This window comes from Homo sapiens, chromosome 1, assembly GCF_000001405.40.
Source record: "Homo sapiens chromosome 1, GRCh38.p14 Primary Assembly".
Lineage (NCBI taxonomy): Eukaryota > Metazoa > Chordata > Mammalia > Primates > Hominidae > Homo > Homo sapiens.
In genome coordinates, this window is record NC_000001.11 from 159,844,833 (window position 1) to 159,868,002 (window position 23,170).

The 23,170-nt window shown below is 51.1% G+C and overlaps 1 protein-coding gene, 2 long non-coding RNA genes and 1 other non-coding gene across 10 annotated transcripts in view, besides 5 other annotated features; 1 reads left to right on the forward strand and 3 right to left on the reverse strand.

Moving 5' to 3' along the window:
* The window catches only part of SNHG28 (small nucleolar RNA host gene 28), a 20,560-nt gene extending 10,355 nt beyond the window's left edge, over positions 1–10,205 (reverse strand). For 3 of the 4 annotated variants that reach the window (NR_147124.1, NR_147122.1, NR_147125.1), the window contains exon 1: positions 9,925–10,205. This is a non-coding gene — a long non-coding RNA (small nucleolar RNA host gene 28). The remainder of the gene's footprint in view (positions 1–9,924) is intronic. The other variant, NR_147123.1, reaches the window with a different exon arrangement.
* Positions 1,030–1,530: an enhancer, noted in NCBI's record as "H3K4me1 hESC enhancer chr1:159815652-159816152 (GRCh37/hg19 assembly coordinates)". NCBI's record gives its function as "activates a minimal SCP1, AML or CMV promoter by ChIP-STARR-seq in naive and primed H9 embryonic stem cells {active_cell/tissue: H9 hESC(naive and primed)}" and the evidence as "EXISTENCE:reporter gene assay evidence [ECO:0000049][PMID:30033119]".
* Positions 1,531–2,031: an enhancer, noted in NCBI's record as "H3K4me1 hESC enhancer chr1:159816153-159816653 (GRCh37/hg19 assembly coordinates)". NCBI's record gives its function as "activates a minimal SCP1, AML or CMV promoter by ChIP-STARR-seq in naive H9 embryonic stem cells {active_cell/tissue: H9 hESC(naive)}" and the evidence as "EXISTENCE:reporter gene assay evidence [ECO:0000049][PMID:30033119]".
* Positions 7,074–7,140, reverse strand: LOC124900450 (small nucleolar RNA SNORD64). The gene has a single exon (XR_007067403.1). It is a non-coding gene; the product is annotated as a small nucleolar RNA SNORD64 (small nucleolar RNA).
* Positions 9,484–17,825, reverse strand: VSIG8 (V-set and immunoglobulin domain containing 8). Its single transcript, NM_001013661.1, has 7 exons — positions 17,641–17,825; positions 13,902–14,080; positions 13,258–13,459; positions 12,913–13,134; positions 11,692–11,811; positions 11,051–11,249; positions 9,484–10,194 (listed from the first exon to the last, which is right to left on the reverse strand). The coding sequence occupies exons 1-7, from the start codon at positions 17,687–17,689 to the stop codon at positions 9,921–9,923; spliced, it is 1,245 nt and encodes a 414-aa protein (NP_001013683.1). The 5' UTR covers positions 17,690–17,825; the 3' UTR covers positions 9,484–9,920.
* Positions 9,818–10,227: a silencer, noted in NCBI's record as "silent region_1455". NCBI's record gives its function as "represses an Ori minimal core promoter by ATAC-STARR-seq in GM12878 lymphoblastoid cells {active_cell/tissue: GM12878}" and the evidence as "EXISTENCE:reporter gene assay evidence [ECO:0000049][PMID:35858748]".
* On the forward strand, positions 10,015–22,853 carry LOC107985216 (uncharacterized). Of its 4 annotated transcripts, none has more exons than XR_001738262.2 (3): positions 10,136–10,506; positions 11,078–11,328; positions 15,814–22,853. It is a non-coding gene; the product is annotated as an uncharacterized LOC107985216 (long non-coding RNA). The 4 variants fall into 4 exon arrangements; XR_007066675.1 differs by having other exon boundaries at positions 10,143–10,506; positions 11,078–11,271; XR_001738261.2 differs by having other exon boundaries at positions 10,015–11,271.
* Positions 16,326–17,240: an enhancer, noted in NCBI's record as "H3K4me1 hESC enhancer chr1:159830948-159831862 (GRCh37/hg19 assembly coordinates)". NCBI's record gives its function as "activates a minimal SCP1, AML or CMV promoter by ChIP-STARR-seq in naive and primed H9 embryonic stem cells {active_cell/tissue: H9 hESC(naive and primed)}" and the evidence as "EXISTENCE:reporter gene assay evidence [ECO:0000049][PMID:30033119]".
* Positions 17,241–18,153: an enhancer, noted in NCBI's record as "H3K4me1 hESC enhancer chr1:159831863-159832775 (GRCh37/hg19 assembly coordinates)". NCBI's record gives its function as "activates a minimal SCP1, AML or CMV promoter by ChIP-STARR-seq in naive H9 embryonic stem cells {active_cell/tissue: H9 hESC(naive)}" and the evidence as "EXISTENCE:reporter gene assay evidence [ECO:0000049][PMID:30033119]".
* Positions 22,854–23,170: the final 317 nt, after the last annotated feature.

Here is a 23,170-nt window from a genome sequence, read left to right on the forward strand (position 1 = left end):
ATCAATTAGGTCAGAGAGGTGACATGGATGGCCTGGGGCACTAGTGTAAGGAACTTGATCTTGGGAAGCCATTTCAGGGGTTTGAGCAGAAGAATGATTTAACTATTCCTCTGGCTTCTCTGCTGAGAATGAACTGAAGGTGAGAGAGAGGAAGCAGGGAAATCAGTCAGGACACTGCTGCCGTAATCCAGGCAAGAGATGAGGGTGGCTGTGAGCTGGGAGGTAACAGGAAAGAAGGGTTTGCTTCTGGATTTGCACTGAAGACAAAGCCAATAGATACAATCACCGTATCTATGAAGCCAGCAACTTTGGAATGACTGATGCACTGCCCTTCTGTGTCTGACCCTGCCTGCCTGGCCAAGTCATTGCCCCTGTTGCTTGGAAAGGCTCCTCAGACAGCATCAGGGGCCTCACCTCCACAATCTATATGGGGCTCTGAATGCTGCAGGACTAGGCATGAGGTGGGTTGGATTCAGAGGGGTTGGGGTCAAGGACAGTTCTCCATGGTTGCTGAGGCAGTTCCATCACTCCCTGCCATTCTGAACCTTGGCTCCTGAATGTTTCAGGACTTTCTGGAGCTGGGCAGGCAGGATTCAGTCCAGGTGGTAGAGAAGCTGACCAGGACACCATGGCCCCCGACCAGTGTGGGCTGAGAGTGCTGTGGGAGGCCCTCTTGTCTTGCAGTCCCTCCATGCCCAAGTTCATGTTGAAGGAGCTCTGCCAACATCTACTAGGTTACAGGCATGTCCCAGTTGTCCTTATAGGAGGTGGAGTCAGGGCAGCTGAAGAGATGACTTTTCTTCCTCAAGTCATCTTACATTTAAATTGTTAGATTGAATCATATGAAATTACCTGTGTTTGACTATTTTTACACTTAAAAAATGAAATTTTCATATGATTCAACCCAATATATTGCTCAGCCTCGTGACCCAGTGGATGTGGTGGGAGAGTGGTGAGAGAGAAAAAGGAGTTAAACAAGGACGGAGTCCCCATCAGCTGAGACAGGGAAGACAATAGGTGGGGTAGAGGCAGTATGTGGGACATGCTACATTTGAGACATCTGTTAAACATCTAAGCAGGTATGTGAGTGTGGAATGCAGGAGAAAGGGCTGGCCTGGCTGTATAAATTTTGGGTATTATTGGCATGCAGGTCTTAGGTGAATAGGTAGAGAGGTGGTGGGGGACTGGGGAGGAGATTATTCCCATCCTCATTCCTCACTTTCTCAGACTGTGTGCTACAGTCTCGGGACGGCTAATGTTTATTGAAAAGACAGAAGCAGATTTCCCCACAGGAACAACGTTGTAATAGCAGGTTAGGCTCCTGACCGAGGATCTGTTGCTCAATGTTTTCATGGCAGTGATCACAAACATGGCCTACCTTTAAGTCCTTAGTAAACTGTGAGTGAGAAGCCTGCATGCGGGACAGGAAAGAGCTTTCAACAGAGTCTGTTAAACTGTGACCTATCCTGCAGAGCTGAGCCTGACATGGCCCACGCCCTATGCCTGGGAGGCCCAGAGCTCCTGTGAGGCTGTTCCCCAGGCCCTGGCTGACTCTGCTCACCAGGTGATGAGCGCGCTTGGGGAGGGCAATGTTCACATGCACCTCTGAGAAGGATCTGGGAGAACACACGTGGCATTTTCCACCTCATGTCCTGGAGGTAACCACAGGCATTAGCTGTTGTCATTAGACTCCTCCCTAAGCTGAGGGAGCAGTCTCTAATACAAACTTTGTCCGCCACATTAATTTTAAGACAGGTCAGCGCAGAGAGGCATTCTGAGTTCTCAAGAAAGTAGATGTTGAGAAGGGAAGAGACACAGCCCCGGCCCTCAGGGGTAAACCTAGTCTGATGGAAATGGGAGGATAACAGGATACTCCCAAGACAGGGTGAGGATAACAAACACTGTCTGGGAGCAGGCAAGAGACTGGGATAAGAGGACAGGGTAAGGTCAGTCTGCCTTTCTGAAGAAAGAGGACAAGGAGAGAGAGGTAGGGGAGTTTCACGGACCAGCCTTGGCAAAGGGCTGAGGTGAGGTGGGGACGGTGCTGGGACAGGGACTTGGAGCCACAACCCCAGTGTTTGGGGAGGCACAGGAGCCAGTTCAGGTGAGTGACTGCAGGGAAGAGCCACAAGGCTGCAGATGGCATCTGGGCAGAAGAAGGGGGCAGACCAGGGGGCATCTGAAGGGACTGACAGGAGGACGCTTCCCAGGCCAGAGGCAAGCCAGAAGTGGGGCCTGGATTGGGCTAAAGGAGTTCACTTCCAAGGCTGAATGAATTCTCCCAAAAACGGTGAAGAAAATCTATGTGCCCTCCCACCCACACACCTGCCAGGAAGGTCCCTCCTCAGCTCTGGGAAAGCTGTGTGGCAACCCTTCAGGAGGGACCCTCCACCTGGGAGGGGTTGTCAAAGTCAGGGCTACAGAGGGCACCACAGTGAGCCCTGGGCTCAGAGGGAGACCATCAGGGGCCTGAGTGCCAGGAACTGAGGTCAGGCAGATGGGAAACGGCACGGGAGAACGCACCCTGGCCCAGGTGGGCCACCCTGAGGATTCTGGCAGCTTATCCCCAGACTGACTCTGGGACCCTGTCGAGCTTGTGTTTCAGGTGCTTCCTGTTATCATTAGGATTATTATTACTAGTGAGGATTCTTGTCAATATTCACACCTGCATGTGGATTCCAGGACTCAGAGGCAAGTCCTGGTTCTCCTCCTTCTCTACTGGTGGCTTTCTGGACTCCTTGCCTCTTCCCCCAGATGGTGAGCCATCTCCAAATTCAATCCCAAGGCTTCATTCTTTGTACTCCGTCCCCCTCCCTGTGGACCTCCCACTCCCCCAGCCTCTGCCGTTGACCTCTGTGTGGTTAGATCCGTGCCTCCAGGCCTGTCCTCTTGTGAGAGATGCAATTACTTTCTAGGGGTGTGGAGGGTTGAGGATCAACCATTTGCTGAGCCGTATGTTCCAGGCTCTGTAATATACCTGTCACACAAAACAGCCCTATTACTATTCCATTTTACAGACAAAGAAATTGAGGCTTTGGAAGCTTATTAAATAACTATAAACCCACATCTGTCTGGCTCCAAAACTGAAGCTTTTTTTCTTTGCAGATGGGAACATGGTTAACTCACAAACATGTATTACAAGTTTTCTTCCTCCTCCCTTCTTTAATTCCTCAAGAAACCTACACAGGAGTCCACTATCACCTCAAACTCAGCCTCTGCGACAATGTGATCAGCAGTTTCACCCCATCCTCCTCTGCTCAATTTCCTGCCTTTGTCAAGGCTTCAGTCTCCTCCTTGGTGCTCAGTGTCCCATCCTGCCCATCCTGCTGAAATGCATCTAAGAAGACTGGGGAGGGCAATGGCCACAGAGGGGTGGCAGAAGGCCATCCTGTCCACTCCCCACCGGCAGGCACAATGACCACGCCCAGCTCCTCCAGATTCCCCAAAGTAGCCACTATCCCCACCTTGTCTGCAAGTTCCCATGTCCTCCACACACCCCTCTACTGCACATTCTTCCCAACCTAACTGCAAAGAACTGAATGGAATCAGTTTTGTTTCCATACACCAGGAATAAATAAAATGGTTACTCCAGATGGGCTGAATGAACGTTGAGTTAACTCCAGAATGTTAACTGTTAACTCCAGAGCAGGGGTTTCCCAGGTTCCCACCAAATCAGGGAAACGAGCCATGAGGAGACTCCCTGGGCAGCTTAGTGGACAGGGCTACAGATTCAGTCCCCTGCCTCCAGGCAGGCCCCAACCTAAACCCATAGGAGTGAAGTAGTTTTTGTAACTCTGGAAGGATCATGATTGGGTAATTCCCAAAACTTCCTTGTTCCCAGAGAGGCAAAATAATAATAATTATTATTATTAACCCCTCCCCAGAGTCACCGCAGTCTGACTGGGCCTTGAGTAGCTGAAATGTAATTGAGCAGCATACATGGTAATAGTTACTCAAAGAGGAGCACACAGGCCGGGTGCGGTGCCTCACACCTGTAATCCCAGCACTTTGGCGGGCAGATCACAAGGTCAGGAGATCGAGACCACCCTGCTAACATGGTGAAACCCTGTCTCTACTAAAAATACTAAAAATTAGCTGGGCGTGGTGGCGGGCGCCTGTAGTCCCAGCTACTCGGAAGGCTGAGGCAGGAGAATGGCGTGAACCCAGAAGGCGGAGCTTGCAGTGAGCCGAGATTGCGCCACTGCACTCCAGCCTGGGCGACAGAGCGAGACTCCGTCTCAAAAAAAAGAAAACAAAAGAGGAGCACACAGAAGAAAATTCCGTGGGACTCCATATGACTCATGGTCTTGGGAATTAGGGGCTTAAGAGAAGATGACTAGAGGATGACTTCCTAGAGCCTGGGGAGAGAGTCAGAGAAGGAACTGAAACAATGAGGACTCACAGGCATCTCTTGAATAGATTTCCCATGGCTAGATGCCCTGGGAGACAAATGTAGGCAAATTCTGTGGATGCCAACGCAGGTTTCTGACGGCTATCAAAAGAGTAACCTGGAACCAAGGGGATACAAATTCTCTCAATAATTCTTCAGTGACCTGAGGAACCAGAATTCAGCTCCAGCAAGGCGGGGGAGAGATGGAAAAGGCGGAACTAGGAAGTAGGATGAAGACAATTTATGTAGTATTTAATAGAAGTAGCATAACTTTGTGCTGTTTGCATCTCTCTAGAAAAATAGAGAAAAATCAAGATGTACTTGAGATTTCCATTCTTGAGGCAACACTTGTGTGCCCAGCGTTCTGCTTGCCTGGGGTGACATGGTCCACCTAACTTTCCCAAGCCAGTTGTTAAATGCAGCCATTATTAAAAAGTAAATTACATACATTTATAATTAAATGATATTAAAACAAAGGTGATAAGTACTCAAAACTCACCACTTCCTGATGACTTTACTACAGTTCACTATTACCTAAGCTCTTAAAGTTATTTACTTCCTCCATTGTATCTGTATCATGGAAATACTATACAATCATGTGCTACTAAACATTTCTCCCAATTCCATGCCAGTCACATCATGTTGGTAGCTTGAATTCAGCCATAGTGGAAGCATTGACATCATGGAAATCAGCAAAGGCTACAAATCAGGGCTTCCCAGTCCCTACCCCACCCTACACCCTACTCCCAAAGCCACTGTTGAACATATGTCACCACAAGTGCTCTCCTCCAGCACTGAACAAGGTTTCATGCAGGAGAAATGAACAAAAAACACCAAGGCATCCCTGAAGCAAAATTGTTCAAACAGAAACTTCCTTCCCTCGTTCTCCTGGGGTGGTAAGTACAGTGACGACTGTGATCTCAGCATTGGATTTAGGAAATCTCTACCTTCCCTGTTGACTCACCCTAACAGGAAGCTGTTCTCAGAGTCTCTATAAAATCTCTCTTGCTGCTCTTTAGTGAGCCTTTCTTGCCAGAGCCTCACTGGTCCCACCCCCCAAATAGAGGCCAAGTCTGATCATGGCTCCCTTGTTCCTGGAATAGGGAAGATTATATCATTCAACAACCTGCACAGCCAACTGGCTGCCTCTGTCCCTCAGCACCTTTCAGGAAGCTAAGCTGGAGGCTCCTCAGACAGGGAGCACCCTCCCCAAGTCATCCTATACCATCCCCTGCCTTAGGGGATATTTTGCCTTAGGGCAAAAATATGCCAGGCACAGTGCCCTGCTGAAGATCTCTTCATCTATGACAAGTCGTCTTATAGGTGCTCATAAATATGACCAAATAAATGAAGGGATGGATGGTTCCTGGAGTTCTCTGCTCTTCTCCTTATTTAACGTCCTTTCCCTATACCTCTTCCCATTCCCAAGAACTCCCCACCTTCCCACCCCCAAGACAGTGGTCTCTGGTTCCTTTTGCCTCATTACTATCTCTCATGTCTCTCAGCACGCTCTATAAAAGCAGAGCTGGCAATGCCATCACCCCTTTGCAAATACCCAAGTCATCTTGAGGGTTTCCTAGTTATGTGTTACTAAGAAGTGTTTAGGGGCTTCCTAAAGACACTTTGAGGCCCATGCACACCCCACACCTCCTGTGGCCCTAGAATAGGAGCAGGAAAAATGAGGAAGACTAGCTTCTCCTCAAGAGAAAAGAGACAAAGAGAGAAGAAAGAGGCTGGGCTCTCAACAAGCAAGCAGCTGGGGAAAGGAAAGTAGAACGAAGTGACCTTGAAGTACTGTGCTCTTCTGAACACCTCCTACCAACTAGACCAGACAAGTGTCCAGTTGTGTCCCTGTTGCAGCCATCCTGTATGGAGTGCAACCACTTTGTCCACTAGAGGCAGCTGAATTAGAAATACAATGCTCTGGGGTCCCTAAGAGTAGAACTTGGATCAAGGGATAAAAGCTATATGGGGACAAAAACCGGGTTCAGAGAAATGTTCTGTTGAATATTGACAGTCAGAGGCCAAGTGGCCTGCCTCGGAAGGTAGTGAGCTGCCATTGGAGGTTGTCAAGAAGACGTTACATACCCTTTGTCAGGAATGCTATAGAAGGAATTCAAATGCCAGAGAAACAGCCTGCTGTCCTGGAATCAAACATGCCTAGATCAAATCCTGAATTATCTTTATTATCTTTGTTGCCTTGGTCAAGATACCTAATCCCTCTGAGCCTCAGTTTATTCATCTGTATAATGGGGATAATACACAACCTCATAGGACTAAAGTAAGGAATAAATAAGACAAAAAATCAAAAAGCACCTAACACTTAATAGGTGCTCAATAAATGCCAATCCCCTTCCCACCAAAAGGGGGAGCTGGGTTAGTTGGCCTTGAAGGTCTTTCTACACCAGAGAGTATGACTCTAAAACACTTCCTGGCTATTAAGAAAGAAGGCATACATCTGAAAGAGATAAAAGAAGTCAAGATTAGGTCAATGAGGGGAAGAGAAAGAAGGATGCTAAGAATGGTCAGGGATCATTTAGAGGTCATCCATGACAGAGCCGTGTTTCCTCTCAACTGACCTTCTAGAATAAAATGGAAAAGTAAGATTGGGGATTTAAAGTCCAGCCTGAGGGGCCTCAGTTTCCCTATCTGTATAGTGAAGGAGTAGGATTTTTTTTAGGTCAGACTTCAGAGTAATCATATTGAACTTTACTTCATAATGCTCAGTAAACACAGCTCATTATAAATCCAGCCAAGGCCTTTCCCAGCAACTCATGCAGCTATATAAAATCACTAATACCTGCAGAGTGCACATCCCTTCCCAAGGACAGGGGGCCTGGGAGAATGAGATGACTAGTTTTATGTGACAATGGATGTGAAACAGCAACAGTATTGACCGACACCGAATTAAGGGGAAAATATGAAGGAAAAAAATCAAAGACAGACAGACAGACAGACAGACACACATACACACACACACACACACACACACACACGCAGCAACCTGCCAAAAGAATAATATTGAGATCCTGGTTTTGATAGAACTAAATATAACATCTTATATTTCCACAAGCAAATTGCCCAACAAATTGAAATGGAAATATTCTAATGTTACTACAGACAGATATAATGTCAACAACTTGCTATTCTCCTCAATAATTCATTATAAACCAATTTAAAGACCTACAGTACATTGAAAACAACCACCAAAATATTCCAGAGTTAAGTGTAAACAAATAATATGAAAGAATCAAGAAGGATGACCAAATAAAATCAAGGCAGGCCAAACAAATGAAACACAAAGTCCAAAAGGATTCTGAGGAAGGTCTAAGCTAAGTTCTAACATCCCTGAAACAAGGGACCAAAGTGGTAAGGTAACACCATCCAAGTTGTAGCATGGAAATGATAGAACCCACACTACTTTTCCTGATACTTGTCTCCTAGCAGACATGAAACTGCTGATTTCAGGAACTTACCCTTTCAAATATATTTTTGCTACCAAAGCACAAATAATCTAACATAAAATGAACTCTTTAAATACAAATAAATTACATATAAAATAAGAAACAGCCCAGACAATTCAGATGTACAAGCACCTACCCTCTGCATCACTATACTGTCCTCATCAGCTCATCAAATACAAAATCATTCACATTCATCAAATACCCAGTTGAACTATGAGGTTCCTTCTTAAATCTTGGGCATTTAGGATGGACCTAACTGTTTTTTTTTAAGTTTAATCTTTCTCAGCACAGGAAATTAATCCAGCCAAGCTTCTCCTATTAATCATTTCTATTCCATATTAGAAATTCTTAAATTATAGGCAAGTGGGCATTGCATTAGCAAAGTAGATTCCAATGCCCAACAGAGATGATGTTGAACAAAGAAGGATTAGTAGAGCTTGTCTACTTGTCTGCATCCCCCTCCTTGCTGTGTGACCACCTGGTCCCTTTATCAACAAAGGAACATCTATAACACTGCCCACTTTACTTACTGTTTGCTTAGCAAATATATCCTTGGAACTTTATCTCAAACATTACTCTTCAATTAAGCACTCCCCATCTCACTAAACAAGAGAGGACGTCTTGCGCCTATTAACAAAAACAGTGCTTATTGATTTCCACTTTTGAACCAAAAATGACTAAAACATCCCCCAAAATACATTGTAAATATCATGACAAGGTGTTTAACAAAACAAGTGCTGGTAAATACTAAATAGCTCAATTAATCCCTATCTAGGAGTGGCTGACTACTTCAGGGTGTAAGAACGTGGAGCTGGATCTCAGAAAGGCCTAGATTCTCACCACAGAATATTCCATCATAAGGCAGTAACTGTAAAATATCTAAAAACTTTTTTTTTCTAGCATAAAGTAATGCTGCCACACTCATTCACTTGGTATTTCTCAAACATCTCCTGCAGAATGGGCTCTGCACAAGTTGACCAACTGCAGACAAATGAAAAAAAAAAAAGAACCACAAAAATAATTGTTCTAAAACACCAGCAGCATCTAGGTGAAGGGATTTACCATACTCTCCGAGTTCCATAATATATGCTATATAAATATTATTCCCCCTCCTTCCTGCACTTCACCCAGCACCCTAGAACTGTGGCACTTAGTTTTTTAATATAAGAGGTTGTAGTCTTATTTTCACATGTCCTTGTTTCTGTCTCACCGGATGCCTGTGCCTTCTGTGCTCCAAGGACTGGTTTCCTTTTAGCTTTCAGCAACATACAAAGACTCCCTAGACCTTCAGAGCACATTATTCTCAATAGAAAATCTTGACATGTGAAAACTTTGAATATTTAGAAATGGCAAGTGTATTGCACTTTGTCGGTTCCTCAGTTTATTTTACGGTCGTAGATATTCTGAGCTAATTCTTTTTGTCTTTGTTTTCCTTTTATCTGCACTTTGTATGTTGTTCAGAGGAGTTGCCCTGGATGGCCCCTTCCAGCTCTGACTGCCAGGGATCTAAGCAGGAGGGAGGAGAGGGGGCGTGGTCGAGGCGAGCGACAGAAGCAACCCTCCCCGGCCCTGGGCAGGGTTCGCCACCCCGTGCCCAACCTCCGTGGAACGCGGACAGCCACTTCGGACTCACGTCTCAATGTTTCTTTATTGTGCTAACACTGCTGCCTCAGAGCTCAGACCTCACACACAGAACAATTCGTCCAGACAGACCCCCACCCACCCGGCCCCCGGGGCCCTCTGCTTAGGCTGGGGACACCAGGCCTCCGGCCTCAGCCGCTCTAGGACACTCAGCCTCCTCCTCCCTCCCTCTCCCCCAAGCCTTCGGTCCCGGGGGTGCGGAGAAGGCTCAGGATCGCCTTCCTCCGCCCTCGCCCGCCCCTTCCCACTTTTGGGGAGGAGGCTCTGCCTCCCTACGCATTTCCTTAGGGAAATGCCTTCACCCCCAGCCGCCTGGCAGCCTGGGGCGAGCGAGGTCGTCCCCAGCCCCGACGTGTCCCCAGCTGCAGACAGAGAGCCCCGCGCCCTCCTCCTGGCTGGGGCGCAGCCCGGCCCGGCGCGCGCGCTCACACCAAGAGGCCGTTCTTGCACTGCACCGGCCCCTCGGCGCAGTCAGCCGGCTCCGCGCTCTTGACCTTGACGTAGACCGGGGAGGGGCCCGCTTCGCAGGCGGCGGCGGCGGTGCAGGGCGCCAGGGCCACGTCCTCGGGGCCGCCGCAGGGGGGAGGCGCGTACTTGCGGCGCAGGGAGCGGCTGACGTTCTGCGTCGGGTACCCCAGGAGGTGGGTGACGCGGCTGCCGCGCCCGCTGGCCTTGCACCCGGGCGCCACGGCGTCCTCTCTGTGGAAAACAACAGGCGGGCGGGTGAGCGGGCTGCTCCGCAGCGGGGCGTGGGCACGGCCTGGGCAGAGCCGGGGGCTCTTGGCAACCTCTTGTCTCCCGCGCCTCCCTCCACCTGCCCTCGTCTCTCTCCCTCGGCCTCGACCTACTGTCCTTTGTGACCCTTCCTGGGTCGGCGACCCTGCAGCGGTCCCGGAGCCAGCATCCCCATCCTCCAGACAGGGCTTGTCCACGCGTATCTGGAGAGCCCTGCAGGCAGCCCCCTCCAGGCCCCTGCAATCCCTTTCTGATGTTTCGCAGGCCCAGAAGAAGGTGCTTTTCCTCTTCTTCTTTCCTTAGCTAATCCTGACCTTGCTCGAGCAATCTCTCTCTTTCTCACCTCCTGCCCCTCAGTCTTCTCCATCTTTCCCTCCATCCCCGAGGCATTGCAATCATTAGCACTACTAGACTTGTTCTATTTTTATTTCTAGTTTGCTTCTAATATAAGTTATTAGCACTATTCTTATTATTAGCTCTTCTTAAATAATAATGTCAGAGTTCTTACCGGCGCAGTACAGGGGAAACGTGAAAAAACATAGGCCCTGCCCTCCAGGAGCTTACAGTCTAGACAAGACAGACAGGTGCGTAGGCAGGAGGGAAATGGAAGGCAGGGAGCAGAGGTGAAGACTGGGGTGGCAGGGGGAGGGGAAAGCCATGAGTTGGGTGGCAGGTCGACATGCCGCAGTCCCAGCACTCCGTGGCGATGGCGGGCAGGGTTGGGGTGGGGGGCCCAGCCGGCCGGTGGCAGGCAGGAGTGAGGTGGGCAGGGCGCCGGTTCCCTGCCGCACAGCAGCATGCAGCATGCATCAGGTTTTACCTGATCTCACTAGCCAAGTCGCCGCAGGCCCCTCCGCCGACCCCGCCGCCGTTGCCGTAGCCGAAGGCACCGCGGGCGCCGCCAGCCCCGGAGCCCCCGCAGCAGCAGCAGACGAGCCCCCAGATGCCTACGGCCAGGCAGCCCAGCGCGAGCAGAGAGCCCAGGACGATGCCGATGATCACGCCTATACGCCGGGAGTCTGTGGAGAGAAGTGGAGGCAGGTCAGGCTTTCTCACAGCCTGGCAGGTGCCTGAGGGAACAGCACCAGGAGGTGCCAGGTCAGGGGTTAATGGGAAAGAGGGAGAGGGACCCAGGGGGTCTCTTAGCCCTGGAACACCCAGTGGGGAAGATATGGGGAGATGCAAGTTAACCCCTCGTGTCAGCATGCTTCTCCCAGGGCTTCCAGCTGCTCTGGGCTCTAGAGCTCAGAGTGGAAGCTGTGCTGGGCGAGCTTGACCCAGCTCAATAGGGTCAAGATCGTACCCACTGATCTTGGCCCACTTGTAGGAAAGGGGCTGGGAGCCCCCACTGGCAAATGGATGGCAGTGGAAAGGCAGAAGCAGCTGAGGCTCCAAACCAGAGCCCAGCCTCCTCCAGTTCAACCCTCCCAACCACCCAGCCCTCAAGACTGCTGCACCTACCTGAGACCTTCACCTCCACCACACAAACACTGTAGCCCACGTTGTTGGCCACTGTGCACTGATACAGCCCATCATCTGCTCTGGAGATATCCTTCAACACCAGGTCCCCATTGTTCAGGCCTGAAAGTGAAGTGGAGAGAGGCCTGGTCTCTGAGAGCTCCCACCCCAACCTCAGTCCCTGTGGGGTGGGGGATGGGACACCCACTCTAGAAGAAGGGAAGGCTTATGCATGTGTGTACACCCACACCCACACACACACACACACACTCCACTCTCCAGGTGAGTCACCTTCCCCCTGCTGTGAAAGAGATGCAAGAAAGGACCTCTCTCCCAGCAGCAAGACAGGGACACCATTAATTCACTCTGACCTTAGGGAAATATGTACGCTCTCTGAGCCTTGGTCTCCTCCTTTGTACAGTGAGGACAGGAGAAGCCAGGGGAAGAGGAACTCTAAGGTCCCTCCTAGCTCTATTATTCTTTGTTTGACTGAATATTTTCAGCTTCTCTATGTACTAGGAGCTTTACACACCTCCCCCATTTAATCCTTGCATGCCCATGAAAGGTATATGTTAGTATTCCCTTTCCATATATGAAGAAATTAAGGCACAGGGAGGGTAAGCCACTTGCCTTAAACTTGGAGCCAGTCAGTGTCCCAGCCAGGATTCAAGCCCAGCTCTGTCTGAGACCAGGCTCCCTCCAAATTCGCCATAGTACTTTTGACTGACTCTCCACATTTGCCTTATCATCTGCTCTCAATAGCAGCTGCTGGGCCAGGCACGGTGGCTCACGCCTGTAATCCTAGCGCTTTGGGAGGCCAAGGCGGGCGGATCGCCTGAGGTCAGGAGTTTGAGACCAGCCTGGCTAACATGGTAAAACCCCGTTTCTACTAAAAATACAAAAAATTAGCCAGGTGCGGTGGTGCATGCCTGTAATCCCAGCTACTCGGGAGGCAGAGGCAGGAGAATCGCTTGAACCCGGGAGGCAGAGGTTGCAGTGAGCCGAGATCATGCCATTGCCCTCCAGCTTGGGCAACAAGAGCGAAACTCTGTCTCAAAAAAAAAAAAAAAAATAGCAGCTGCTGGGGCAGGCCCAGAGGGAGGGTCTCCCACAGGGATTCCAGGTTTGATTTGATGGCACTGATAACCCAAGGAAACCCCAACAGGTCCCAGAGTCCCTGATCTTCCACTCACCCCCGACTGCCCTCATCCAGGGCCCTCTCACCTTGGTTTATGGAGCTGTGGAAGGACTCCTGGTAGGACAGCTCTGAGTGGTAGCTGTGCTGGGAGGTGTAAGACCCAGCTCGATAGGGGTAATGGTGCCCACTGATCTTGGCCCACTTGTAGGAGAGGGGCTGGGAGCCCCCACTGGCATAGCACTTCAGCACCACATCGTTGCCATATGTCATGTGGCCCTCTGTCCAGCACATGGGCACTGCAGGTCGTGCTGCAAGGAGGCAGACAATTGTAAGCCAGGGCCCAGCCAAGAGACAGAGCCAGGCTCAAAGTGGCCAAGCTGCCCTTGGCTCTTAAGCCAGGGGGAGAGGAGCTTAGAGGAGTCTGGCCATACCTTGGACAGTGACAATGACCTTCCGGGTGGCCATGGTGGTCTTCTTCACCCGGCACTCATAAGTGGCTGTATCAGATACCTGCAGGTTCATGAGGTTGATGGAGGCATCGTACTGGCTTGGGTCTGAGGCTGCAAAGCGGACCCTCTGCTGCAGATGGGGAAGGCTGCCATGGTTGATCCTCTTGTCCTGGTAACTAAGGAACTGTGAAGAGGAGAGGAAAACAGGTGGTGAAACAGGCAGAGCCAAGAAGGGCCATGTGGATTGGCTGCTTTGGGCAATTCACTGAACTTCTCTGAGACTCTTTTCTCAGCTGAAAAAATGAGAATAATGATGCCTGAGCCACTGACCTCTTACAGAACTGGTGAGATCAGGTGAGATCAAGCACTTGGAAAGATATATGGTCAGACTGGGAACTTTTTGAAGGCAAAGACTACAACTTATCTTCCTTTTAGAATGGGATGGGAGGAGGTAGACTGACTGGCTAGCTTAATTCACAATTGCAGAGCTCTCATCCCCATTGCCTCATTCCCTGAAAGGCCTTGGGGGAGGTTCAAGGTCAGTCTTCTCCCTTTGGGATGTTGGCTGTCCAACAGGTAGACATCATGAAGCCTAGAGGAAGGAGACCCCTGTGCCCAGCACTCACCACGTTCTCTCGGTGGTGGGCGGGGTCTGAGTTGACCTGCATCCACTCGATGTCCAGCCCATTGGGACCATAGTCCTCAGGGTCCAGGACGTAGGGGCAGCCCAGCCTCACATTATCACCTTCTGCCAGGTACAGGACCTCCTGTCCATCCCCGTTGATCCGCACAGCAGACAGCAGTGCTAGGGGGAGGGCAGAGAAGATGGGGTGGTAGGAGCAGAAGCAGGGCTTCAGGAGGAGTCAGTGTCAGCCCTTCCCTTCATATTCTCTGTCCACGGCACCCAGAGGTCAGCAGTGCTTTCATAAAAAGGAGGGCTGCTCGTAGTGGGTGTGTATGTGTGTGTGCATGAATTGTCACAGGCATATAACAGCTATACATATAGCTGTTATATATGTAGCTGTTATGTATGCTTGTATGTATATATGATTATGTGTATGCATGTATGAATATGTACACGTATGTACATTGTATGCTTATGAGTATTTGTGGCTGCTTATGTGTACTGTGAGGATATTCATGTACATGACCACGTAGCGTGTCTGCTTATATATTTATATGATAGTGTGGATGTGTTTGTGTGTGTGAAGGCATGTGGTACACACAGAGTTGTTAAATGCTCTGATAGAAGAGCCTGGCTGATTAAATGTCACCTATGTGGGCTCTGTCTGGGCTGAGTGAAGTCCTCCTGTCCAGAGGCAGCGGGGTGGTTACAATGGCTTCTGGGACTCCTCTCCAGCCTGAGAAGCCAAAGACTAAGTGTGTCTATGTGTGTCTGTGTATGACAGTGTGAGTCTGTGGCTGTATGCCTCTGTGTGGTTTTGTATAGTGATGTGTGACCATGTGAGCTATGTAAGTGCTTAAAAGTGACAGTGTGTGCTTGTGCATGACAGTGGACAGCTGTGACCAGGAGCCTGGCTGTGTTCGTGTGTGATAGTGAGTGATGGTGTGTGCCTGGGACTATGGCCACAGGTATCTGTAGGACATTGTGAGTCTTTCTTGACTACACAGCATTGCGTACTGTGTGTGCTTCCTCTTATGTGATTGTGTGGCTCGCATGCAGCTGCCCCCACAAGCTGGCTTCCAGTGAGGCCCCTCCTGCCACTGAGTCAGTGGCAGGCAATCCTGGGTGAGGAGCCAGGATCCCAGGACCCAGGAGCTCAGGACTGAGCTCTTGTCCCTCCCTACCCTGAAGCCCCAGGCAGGCCTATCCCCAACCGGTTGGACCTAGAGAGGGATAAGACCGGGGGGTGTAGCCAGGGCCCCACCCTGGACACTCTGCCCTCCACCTCCCAGTCTCCAGCAACCCTGCCTCTGCAGGCCCCTCACCAGGCCTCACACACTCTCCGTCTGCGTTCTTTTTTGAGTCAACATGTCTTCTGGAGTCACAGCCCCAGGTCTCAGCAATCATTCTGTTCTATCATGTGGCTCAGGACCATGTTTACACATAGAGATCTCACACATGCACACACACAATTACACCATCACAGGCAAACAAATCGGCACGTGGCCCACTCTTACAAGGCTTCAAAATGCAGATACATACCTATATGGCCCCACCTTCCTACAAACACAGACACTATATAGATTCATTCAGACACAGACACAATCTGCACACAAACACAGAACATATTAATTCAAAAGACACACCCACCGTGTGTTCATATAGTCCCTGTATGTGTTCATTCAAGACCAGACATATCTATGGAAGCCCTGCCAGGAAGGCTTAGCCTGGCTCCAGAGAGGCCAGCAAGGGCCCTTTCAACACCCTCAACAGCTCAGGGATCCCTGAACATCCCCCCTAGGAACACTGGCTGGGCCATCAGCTCTGTCATAACCCAGCTAGACTCCAAGGTGACCCAGAGCAGGCAGGCTGACTGCTGGGGCTCTAACGGGACCTAGTGATGCCTCTTCCAGCTCCAGGCCAAGAGAACAACAGCTCATTCCTGAGATAAGGATCCTGCTGCCATCTGCCAGATCCTGAGGCTGCTCAAGGCAAGCCAGGGATGAGCCAGAACTCGGCTGAGAGCAGAGGCTCCACCCTGGAGAAGCACCGCTGGAAGCACCCACACAGGAAGGACTCTCTCCATGCCATAGGAGCCTGCCAGGCAGGATGGTAAGCATTCAGGGAGAGGGGCTTGGGAAGGAGCGACAGGCTGCAAGAAAAGCACCTCCACCCTGCACCAGGCTGAGAGATTCTTCAATTGTCCCAGACCAGGGAGCCTCACCCAGCTTTTCTATCTCCTTAGAAGTCTTCTCAACCTCCTCCCAAGGGTTCCAGCCTTTCCGCACCCCTCCCTCTCCTTGGGAAGTTGCTCCTAATGTCTCACCTTGATTCCTCTTGCTGTAGCACTAAGGAAGTACTACAGGGAATGTGAGAGGAGAGGCTGGAGAGAGGGAAGAAAGGCAAAGTGGAAGAGAGAGCTGGATGGGAGACTTGAGGAGAGACAGGAATGGAGGAATCACATGGGCTCTCCAAGGAAGAGGACAGTGGTGATTCTTTGCCCCCCAAAAGCACCAGAAACTGGCCATGCTTTACGGGGTGTCATCTCAATAGTGGTGCCTACTCTCTGCTTGCAAATTCTTTCTGAATCTTCAAGGTGCTTCCAGAACTCCTGATCTTCCCTCTGGAGGTAAGGGAGGGGAGAAAAGGCGGCTCCAGCTGAGGGTATTGATGCGTTAATGCAGCCAGTGCTGAGTTGTCCTCACACACCCATTGACACACCACACAGGGGGAAGTCCGGGTCCCCACAGCACAGCTGGAGCCTCCCGAGTGGACTCTGCCAGCCCTGCTCTCATCAGACAGAGAAGGGCTGCAGCTATCCTGCCGGAAATGTCATCATTCCCATGCAGGTGCACGCACCCACACACTCACATACACATTCACGCTCACACAAAGGCTGAAAATGTCACCCCGCCTTCCCAAATTCCTCCTTCATGCCCCTTCATCCCAAATCCAGACTGCAAGAGGGACTCGGAGCCCTTTCCAGTGATGTTGGCATAGAATGCCCCTTGGTGGAACTTGCCCCAACCTGGGCAGGAAGCCACAATGTCCAAACTTGAGCCCTGCCCTGTGGACCTGTCCTGGTGGGGTGAGAAGTCTCTGGAGTTGCCATCCCCACCACCCTCAGGCCTCATCCTAGAGTGGGGCACTGCCCTGTCATAGCACAGGGGGCCCAAGGCTGAGGTCTCAGGCCTGAGCTGTCACTGGCCATGATGGAAGAAACCACTCAGACTTACACCAGACTTAGTCTCTTGCCCTTTCAAGGCAAGTGACTTCCCTGCCCCTTGGCCCTGGCCTTGGGAGAGAAGGAGTAGCGTTGGGAATAGCACACAGTCTGATGAAAATTGATCCTTCCCAAGCTCCTCCTGAGCCCTCACCCAATGCCCGTGCTTACCCCTCTCCTACCCCACCTCCAGCTCCTGCAGAGCAATCAATCCCTCTCCTCCTAGTCACGGCATGAGCTTGCAGGGCACCTGCACACATGTGTGAGCCCGACAGGGGACATATAAAGATCCACTCAAAGACCTCTGCACTACAGACACACACCCTGAACATCAGGCACAGGGTCTCCTGGGGAAAGGTCCCCTGGTAATACCCACACCCGGCTGCAGCAGGGCAAGGGTGGGCAGCACCCTGCCAGGCAACTCAGGCAGCCCCAGGCTCCACTGTGAGCCCTTGCTGCCCCTTTCCTTCCCACCTAGCCTCATGCTGGCTACCCTGCCCCCTGCCCAGCCCCGTACCTGGGCTCAGGCACACGAGTAGAAGGTGGAATGCTCCTCCAACTCTCATGTCTCTAGGCTCGGTGTTTCCTCCGTCTGGGCTGGGTATCCCGTGGGGTCGTAGTGGTGGGTGTGAGGGGGTAGGTGGAGGGAGGGGGAGCTGAGGGCCCAGACACTGCCTGGGGTGGCAGGAAGGTGCAATGAGTGCCCAGCTGGGGAGCAGCTGGAGTTATTTCTATGGGAGGGAGGGGGCCTGGTCCCCGCCTTGGGGAGGAGTCCCAGGAACCCTAATTAGCAGGGTGACAGGGTGGCCTACCTGGGCATTACCCAGCCCTCACCCAAGCTCTTCCCTGTCCTAAGAGTGGCACAGGACAGCCAGCGGGACTTGTAATTAGGCACCTGTTAAACTTCACTTCCTCCTGGCCACATCCTCAGGGTGACAACAGTCACCTCATTTACAGCTTCCAAGGGCTCCCCTCACCACTCATTTGCTGCCTCCTTCCCTGGGGGAAGTGGGGAAGAGGAAGGAGAAGCCAGGCTTGGGAGAAAGAGTGGCCAGGACCTGAAGAGTTAATCCTGATCCCAGGGCATAGGGTTCCCCAGGAGTGTCCAGCCCACCTTCCCCCAGGCTTCAGGCCTTTCAAAGGGACTCAGGCCTCCTGAGCTGAAAGAGGAGAGAAGGGGTGTGTGCAGGAACAGAGTCTCCTCCTGGCTGTCCCCTCTGGAACTGTCCTCCACACCCATACTCGACTCAAGGCCATCCCCAAGTGTAGGGGACCCCTGGGAGCAGGGGTGCTATGGGGGGTCCAGGGTGTGTGCTAGGAGTAAGGTGACTGATGGGCTAGTGAGGGAGTGTTGGAGAGAACAGCGCCAAGAGGACCAGGGAAGGGGGTGCCTGTGTAAGCGTGTGCACCCCTCAGCAATGTCTGTGGGAGGGAGGCAGGATGTCTGTGTCAGGGTGTCTCTGTGAGGATGGCTAAGCCCCTCTGAGTGAACTTCTTGAGGGATCGCTTGGTGTCCTGGCTTCTCTGCCCAGAAAGAGTAGCCAGGTCTTGAGGGTTAATGCAGTCCCAGTATTAACTGGGTCCTTGAGACCAAGGACCCTCATAACCTGGACTGGTCATCGGGCTGACTAAACCAGCACAGTTCTGGGTAAGTTCGTGCTGGGGTGGGGAGGGTCCTGGTAGGCATGGGGAGCAAGTGAAGGGCCACCCCTTGTTGGCTTGTCTAAGGGGGACAGAATGGGCATGTGCCTTGTTGGACTCCATGGTGGGAGTCAGGACATGAGTGACCCCATTCAATAGCTCAACTCCCTCAAAGGAGTCAGGGACTGCCCCCATCCCTACCATGGGGCACAGAAAGGGCAGAGGAGGAAGAGTGTTAGGGAGAGTTATGGGGCTCAGGGATGCTGCCAGGGCCCACCCCTCTGGGGAAAAATAAGTCAGAACATTAAGGAAACACAAGGAGTCCACGCGTCTCTGCATTCCAAGCCGTTGCACCTGAACTCCCAACAATAACAGGGCGCTCTGAGACCTACCAGATGTACACAATGAATATCTTTATTTCCTTATTTATTTTTAGGTTTATGGGATTGTCCTGCTCCCTTTGAAGAGCAGGGATCATTATCCCCATTTTACAGATGGGGAAACAGAGACCTGGAGAAACATGGGGATTCAGCCAATGCGGCTGGTGCCTAAGCTGGGATACCCAGGTACCCAGGGTGTCAGTCCAGAGAGGTCCAAAAAATGGTCTTGGTGATCCTGTGGATTACTAGACCCACTCACGAACAAGAACCATGGAAGGTCAGGGTGAGTGGGAGGGAAAACAGGTCAGACCACGAACAGAGAGATTGAGGAGAAAGCAGTAACATTGTGGTTCCACTAAACTACAGTGCAGGCTTCAGATTTAATTGGGTTCTGGATGTGGGCTAATGTTAGAGCTGGGGTTAAGTTTGGGGTTAGTTGAATTATGAATGAGGTTGAGGTCAGATTTGAGGTTGGGATTAGAGTTAAGGTTGGGATTAGGGTTAGAAATACAGCTAGAATTGAGGCTCAGGTTTATGGCTGGGATTTGTGTTACGATAAGGAATAGAGTTTTAGTTTCATTTACAGCTCTGCCTGGGAATACAGTTAGGGCTAAATCAAAGGCTGGGTTTAGATTGATTTAGCATTGGGTTAGAACTAAGTTTGAGATTCACATTGAAATAGGCTGTGGTTAGGGTTGGAACATGGTTTAAAGACACGTAAGCAGCGGGAGTTGATGGGGATCAAAGATGAGGTTTTATTTCTAATATAGAAAGACTTCAGCCTCCATCTGCTAAATCCAGGTTTGGCTAGAATTTTCAATCCTTAGTGCGGGGAGACTACTAATGGCACATGTTGATTGGGGTCCCAAGACTTGGAGGAGGAAGCCAAATGTACACGAGCCCATCTAAGGGGTATGAGGCAACTAAATCCCATAGAGAATGGACCCTCTGAAGTCCTGCTCCACTACTAAAGCTCACCACCTGGCCAAGCTCCAGAAAAACATCTGGGGAGGAGACGCAGGAAGCTACTGACAATGAGTTGGGCTCTGACACCAAACCGAACTAGAAGATGGGGTCCATCAGAGGGAGTCTTACTGAGTGGGGAGGAGGGGTGGTCTGGATTTGGAGTCCTTAGGAGATGGGAGTTGGGAGAAACTGAGGGCCTACATGCTCCTAGAACAGCCACTTTATGGGGCACCACATGGGGGTCTTTCAAAGCCTGAAAGGGCAGAGTGCCATTGTTGTTTCCCCTTGACCCTCTGAGGCTTAATTGCTACCTTCTTGCAATTTGAGTCCTATAAAAGAAGCTGTCAGCCTTCCAGCCCTAAACCCTGAGCCCTGCAGGGTTTTCAGGGAGGGCAGCAGTGGGGAGGCTGTGGATGGGGTGAAGGCACTGGGGTGTCAGCATAGTTTCCAAAGCATATGTCACAGTCCTACAGTCCCCTCCCTCTGGGCCCAGCTCACAGTCCGTGTAAGTCTCTGGGCCTTATCCTCAGCAGTGGAAGAGGGCCCCACTCCTAGGAAGACCCCGTCCCAATTCCTCCCTCTCATTTTTCCCCAACCAGTCTCCAGCCCAAACATCTCATTTCCCCACCCACTTCCTTTTCAGGTTTTATAAAGGTCTGGTCCAGGAGACTACTGGGGTTCCCCCTGTGACCCCAGAGAGAGAGAAGAAAGAGATTGGGAGAGATAGTGATGAGTTAAGGGGCAAAGACAGAGACAGGGACAGAGGCAGACAGAAAGACACATGGTCTAAATGGCCCCTCCAGAGACTCAGAGGGATACAGAGGAGGCAGAGGGCCCAGGCCACGAGCTGGGAACCAATACAAATTTCCAAAAGGGCCCCTTGCTTTTTCCTAAGAAATCCATGACTCTCCAGGGAAGAATGGCCCTGCTTTGACTGGTATTTGCTTCTATTCTAAGACAGTAACAGAAAATCAAAGACTGGCTTAGAAAGGAGTAAACAGGGAGATACAGGAGGTAGGAAGAGGCTGGACAAAAACTCAGAGAAGGCCACAGATTGCTTACCAGATGAAGTGCAGCCCAGCCCCAGAACCTTTCTGGGAAGGACGGACAGAGGGCTTGGGCTGCCTACTCTTCCTCCAAAGCCTATTCTTCCTCCAAAGTCCCTTTCATGGCAACTCCACCCCACTCCTCTAAGCCCTGCCCTCCCCTGCCTGTACTTGCCCACCCCAACCCCTCTCAGTGGCCGCCAGACTCCCTGGGCTCAGGCTCAATCAAGCTCCCCACAACCCCTGCCTTGGCTGGCACTGCAATTTGACTCATTCTAAACTCCTCCCCACACAGTCAGCAAGCTCCTCAGCCCCCTCTCCCAAGTCCCCATGTAGCCCAGGGCTCACCCTGCAGCACCCAGGGAGGAGCTGTCCTGCAGAGGAAACCTCTGAGGTAAGACTCTGGGAGCAGAAGCTGTGAGTGACAATGGATAGGCAAAGAGTCACAGAGAAGCCAAGGAGCCTTGCAGCTGCTGTCTGTCCACCCAGCTTTCAGTGATGATTTGGAGGTGGAGGTCTGCCAGGTGAGGCCATGGTTGCATGAGAAGGGCAGGGGGCTCAGAGGTTGCATGGGTGGTGATGGGACAACGTCGGATTCTGGTTACAGAGAGGGATGAGATCGACATGTGGGGCTAAGTTTGAGGGTGTGGGTTGGGTTCGAAACTAAGGCTCAAATCAAAGCTGGCAGGGAAGAGCCGTGAACACAGGTGACACAGGGACTCCCCAAGCTCCTGCTTAGGTTTCCCAAACCTCAGTGGTTCTGACTGGTACACTTCAGAAGAAGTGGGATTCTAGGAGGAGCCTGGATATGCCCACATCTCTCCCATCAAGCAATGTCCTGAAGCTGACAGACTCAGAAGAGCAAGCAGCACACACATAGTCCCCATCAATTAAAGGAGTGGCTGGAGTTGTCACTACATCAACAAAGCACAAGAGCAAAGGGAGGCGATTGAATGCCACCAACTGAATTGTTAGCAAGAGAATGAGTGGAGGCGAGAAGAAATCGCTTGTAAAGGCTATGTGATTCCCTGATGACAGATCTGAGGAAGAATGAAGAGGCTTTGAAGATAAAGGTATCTTCACCTCGCCAAGATCAACCACATCCTGCAGAACCTTCATTCATTCAGCAAACAGCCAGGCTTTGTGCTAGGCCCTGGGGAAATGGCAATTAAGGAGACTCAGTCCCTATCCTCACAGAACACCCCATCTGACACGGAAATAGCTCCTGGCCCGCAATGTGGTAAGATGCAGTAATACGTGCAAGGCCCCTGACTTAGTGGCAATGATGTTTAAGCCGAGATCTGAAGGATAACTAACAACGGCGTGCCAGAGAAAAGAGTAGCGGGTGGAGAGAGGAGGCCAGGGGAATATTTCTGGGCTTGGTAAGTAAGCCAGGTCCCTGCCAGACATGGACTGAGAAGAGCAAAGCCAGGAGTGACAGCTGACGATTATTTTTTAACTGAGGAAGGAAGATCCTTGAGAACGGAACCTCTTGGGACCTTCTACCCAGAACACCAGAGCACCTCACTGGGATCAGAGCCAGGCCATCGGGTGGATTAAGCAACTAAAATTGATTGTCCTGAACCATGAGTCTGTCTGTTTATGGGGAGAGAAACTTTGAGATGAATTAATCCACAGGTCCAATGGGACTTTGACATTTTAATTTGTAGAAATAAAACTTGCCTTTGATTTTGCCATCTGGATTCCCCAAACACGTATCTACAGAGTGGAACTGTGGTGCCCCTTGACCTGCAGGGTGGCCCCAGGCCTGCCTTGCCCCGCTGGCAGTTGCCCAGGAAGGTGTGTAGGAGCTGGCAGGCGTCAGTACGAAGCTGCAGCTGGTGTGTGTCTCGTTCAGAGCCTTTCTCACTAAGCCCGTCCTGACCAATCCTTGCTCTGCCCTCTGTATTTGTTTCCTGTTGCCTGCACACTGGGATAGAAGGAGTCAAGGGGAAGGTGGTGCCACAGGGGCGGGGCTCAGAGGCAACAGAGCGCTGCTAGGGCTGCAGCGACA

Bases quoted from the DNA above. Each gene is read 5' to 3' on its own strand.
- VSIG8 (NM_001013661.1), bottom strand. From the start codon at position 17,689: ATGAGAGTTGGAGGAGCATTCCACCTTCTACTCGTGTGCCTGAGCCCA. The intron at 11,812-12,912 runs GTGAGAGGGCCC...CTTCACTTTCAG, and splicing joins CCACAGCTCCATAAACCAAG to GCCTGAACAATGGGGACCTG. The intron at 10,195-11,050 runs GTAAAACCTGAT...TGTTTTCCACAG, and splicing joins GACTTGGCTAGTGAGATCAG to AGAGGACGCCGTGGCGCCCG.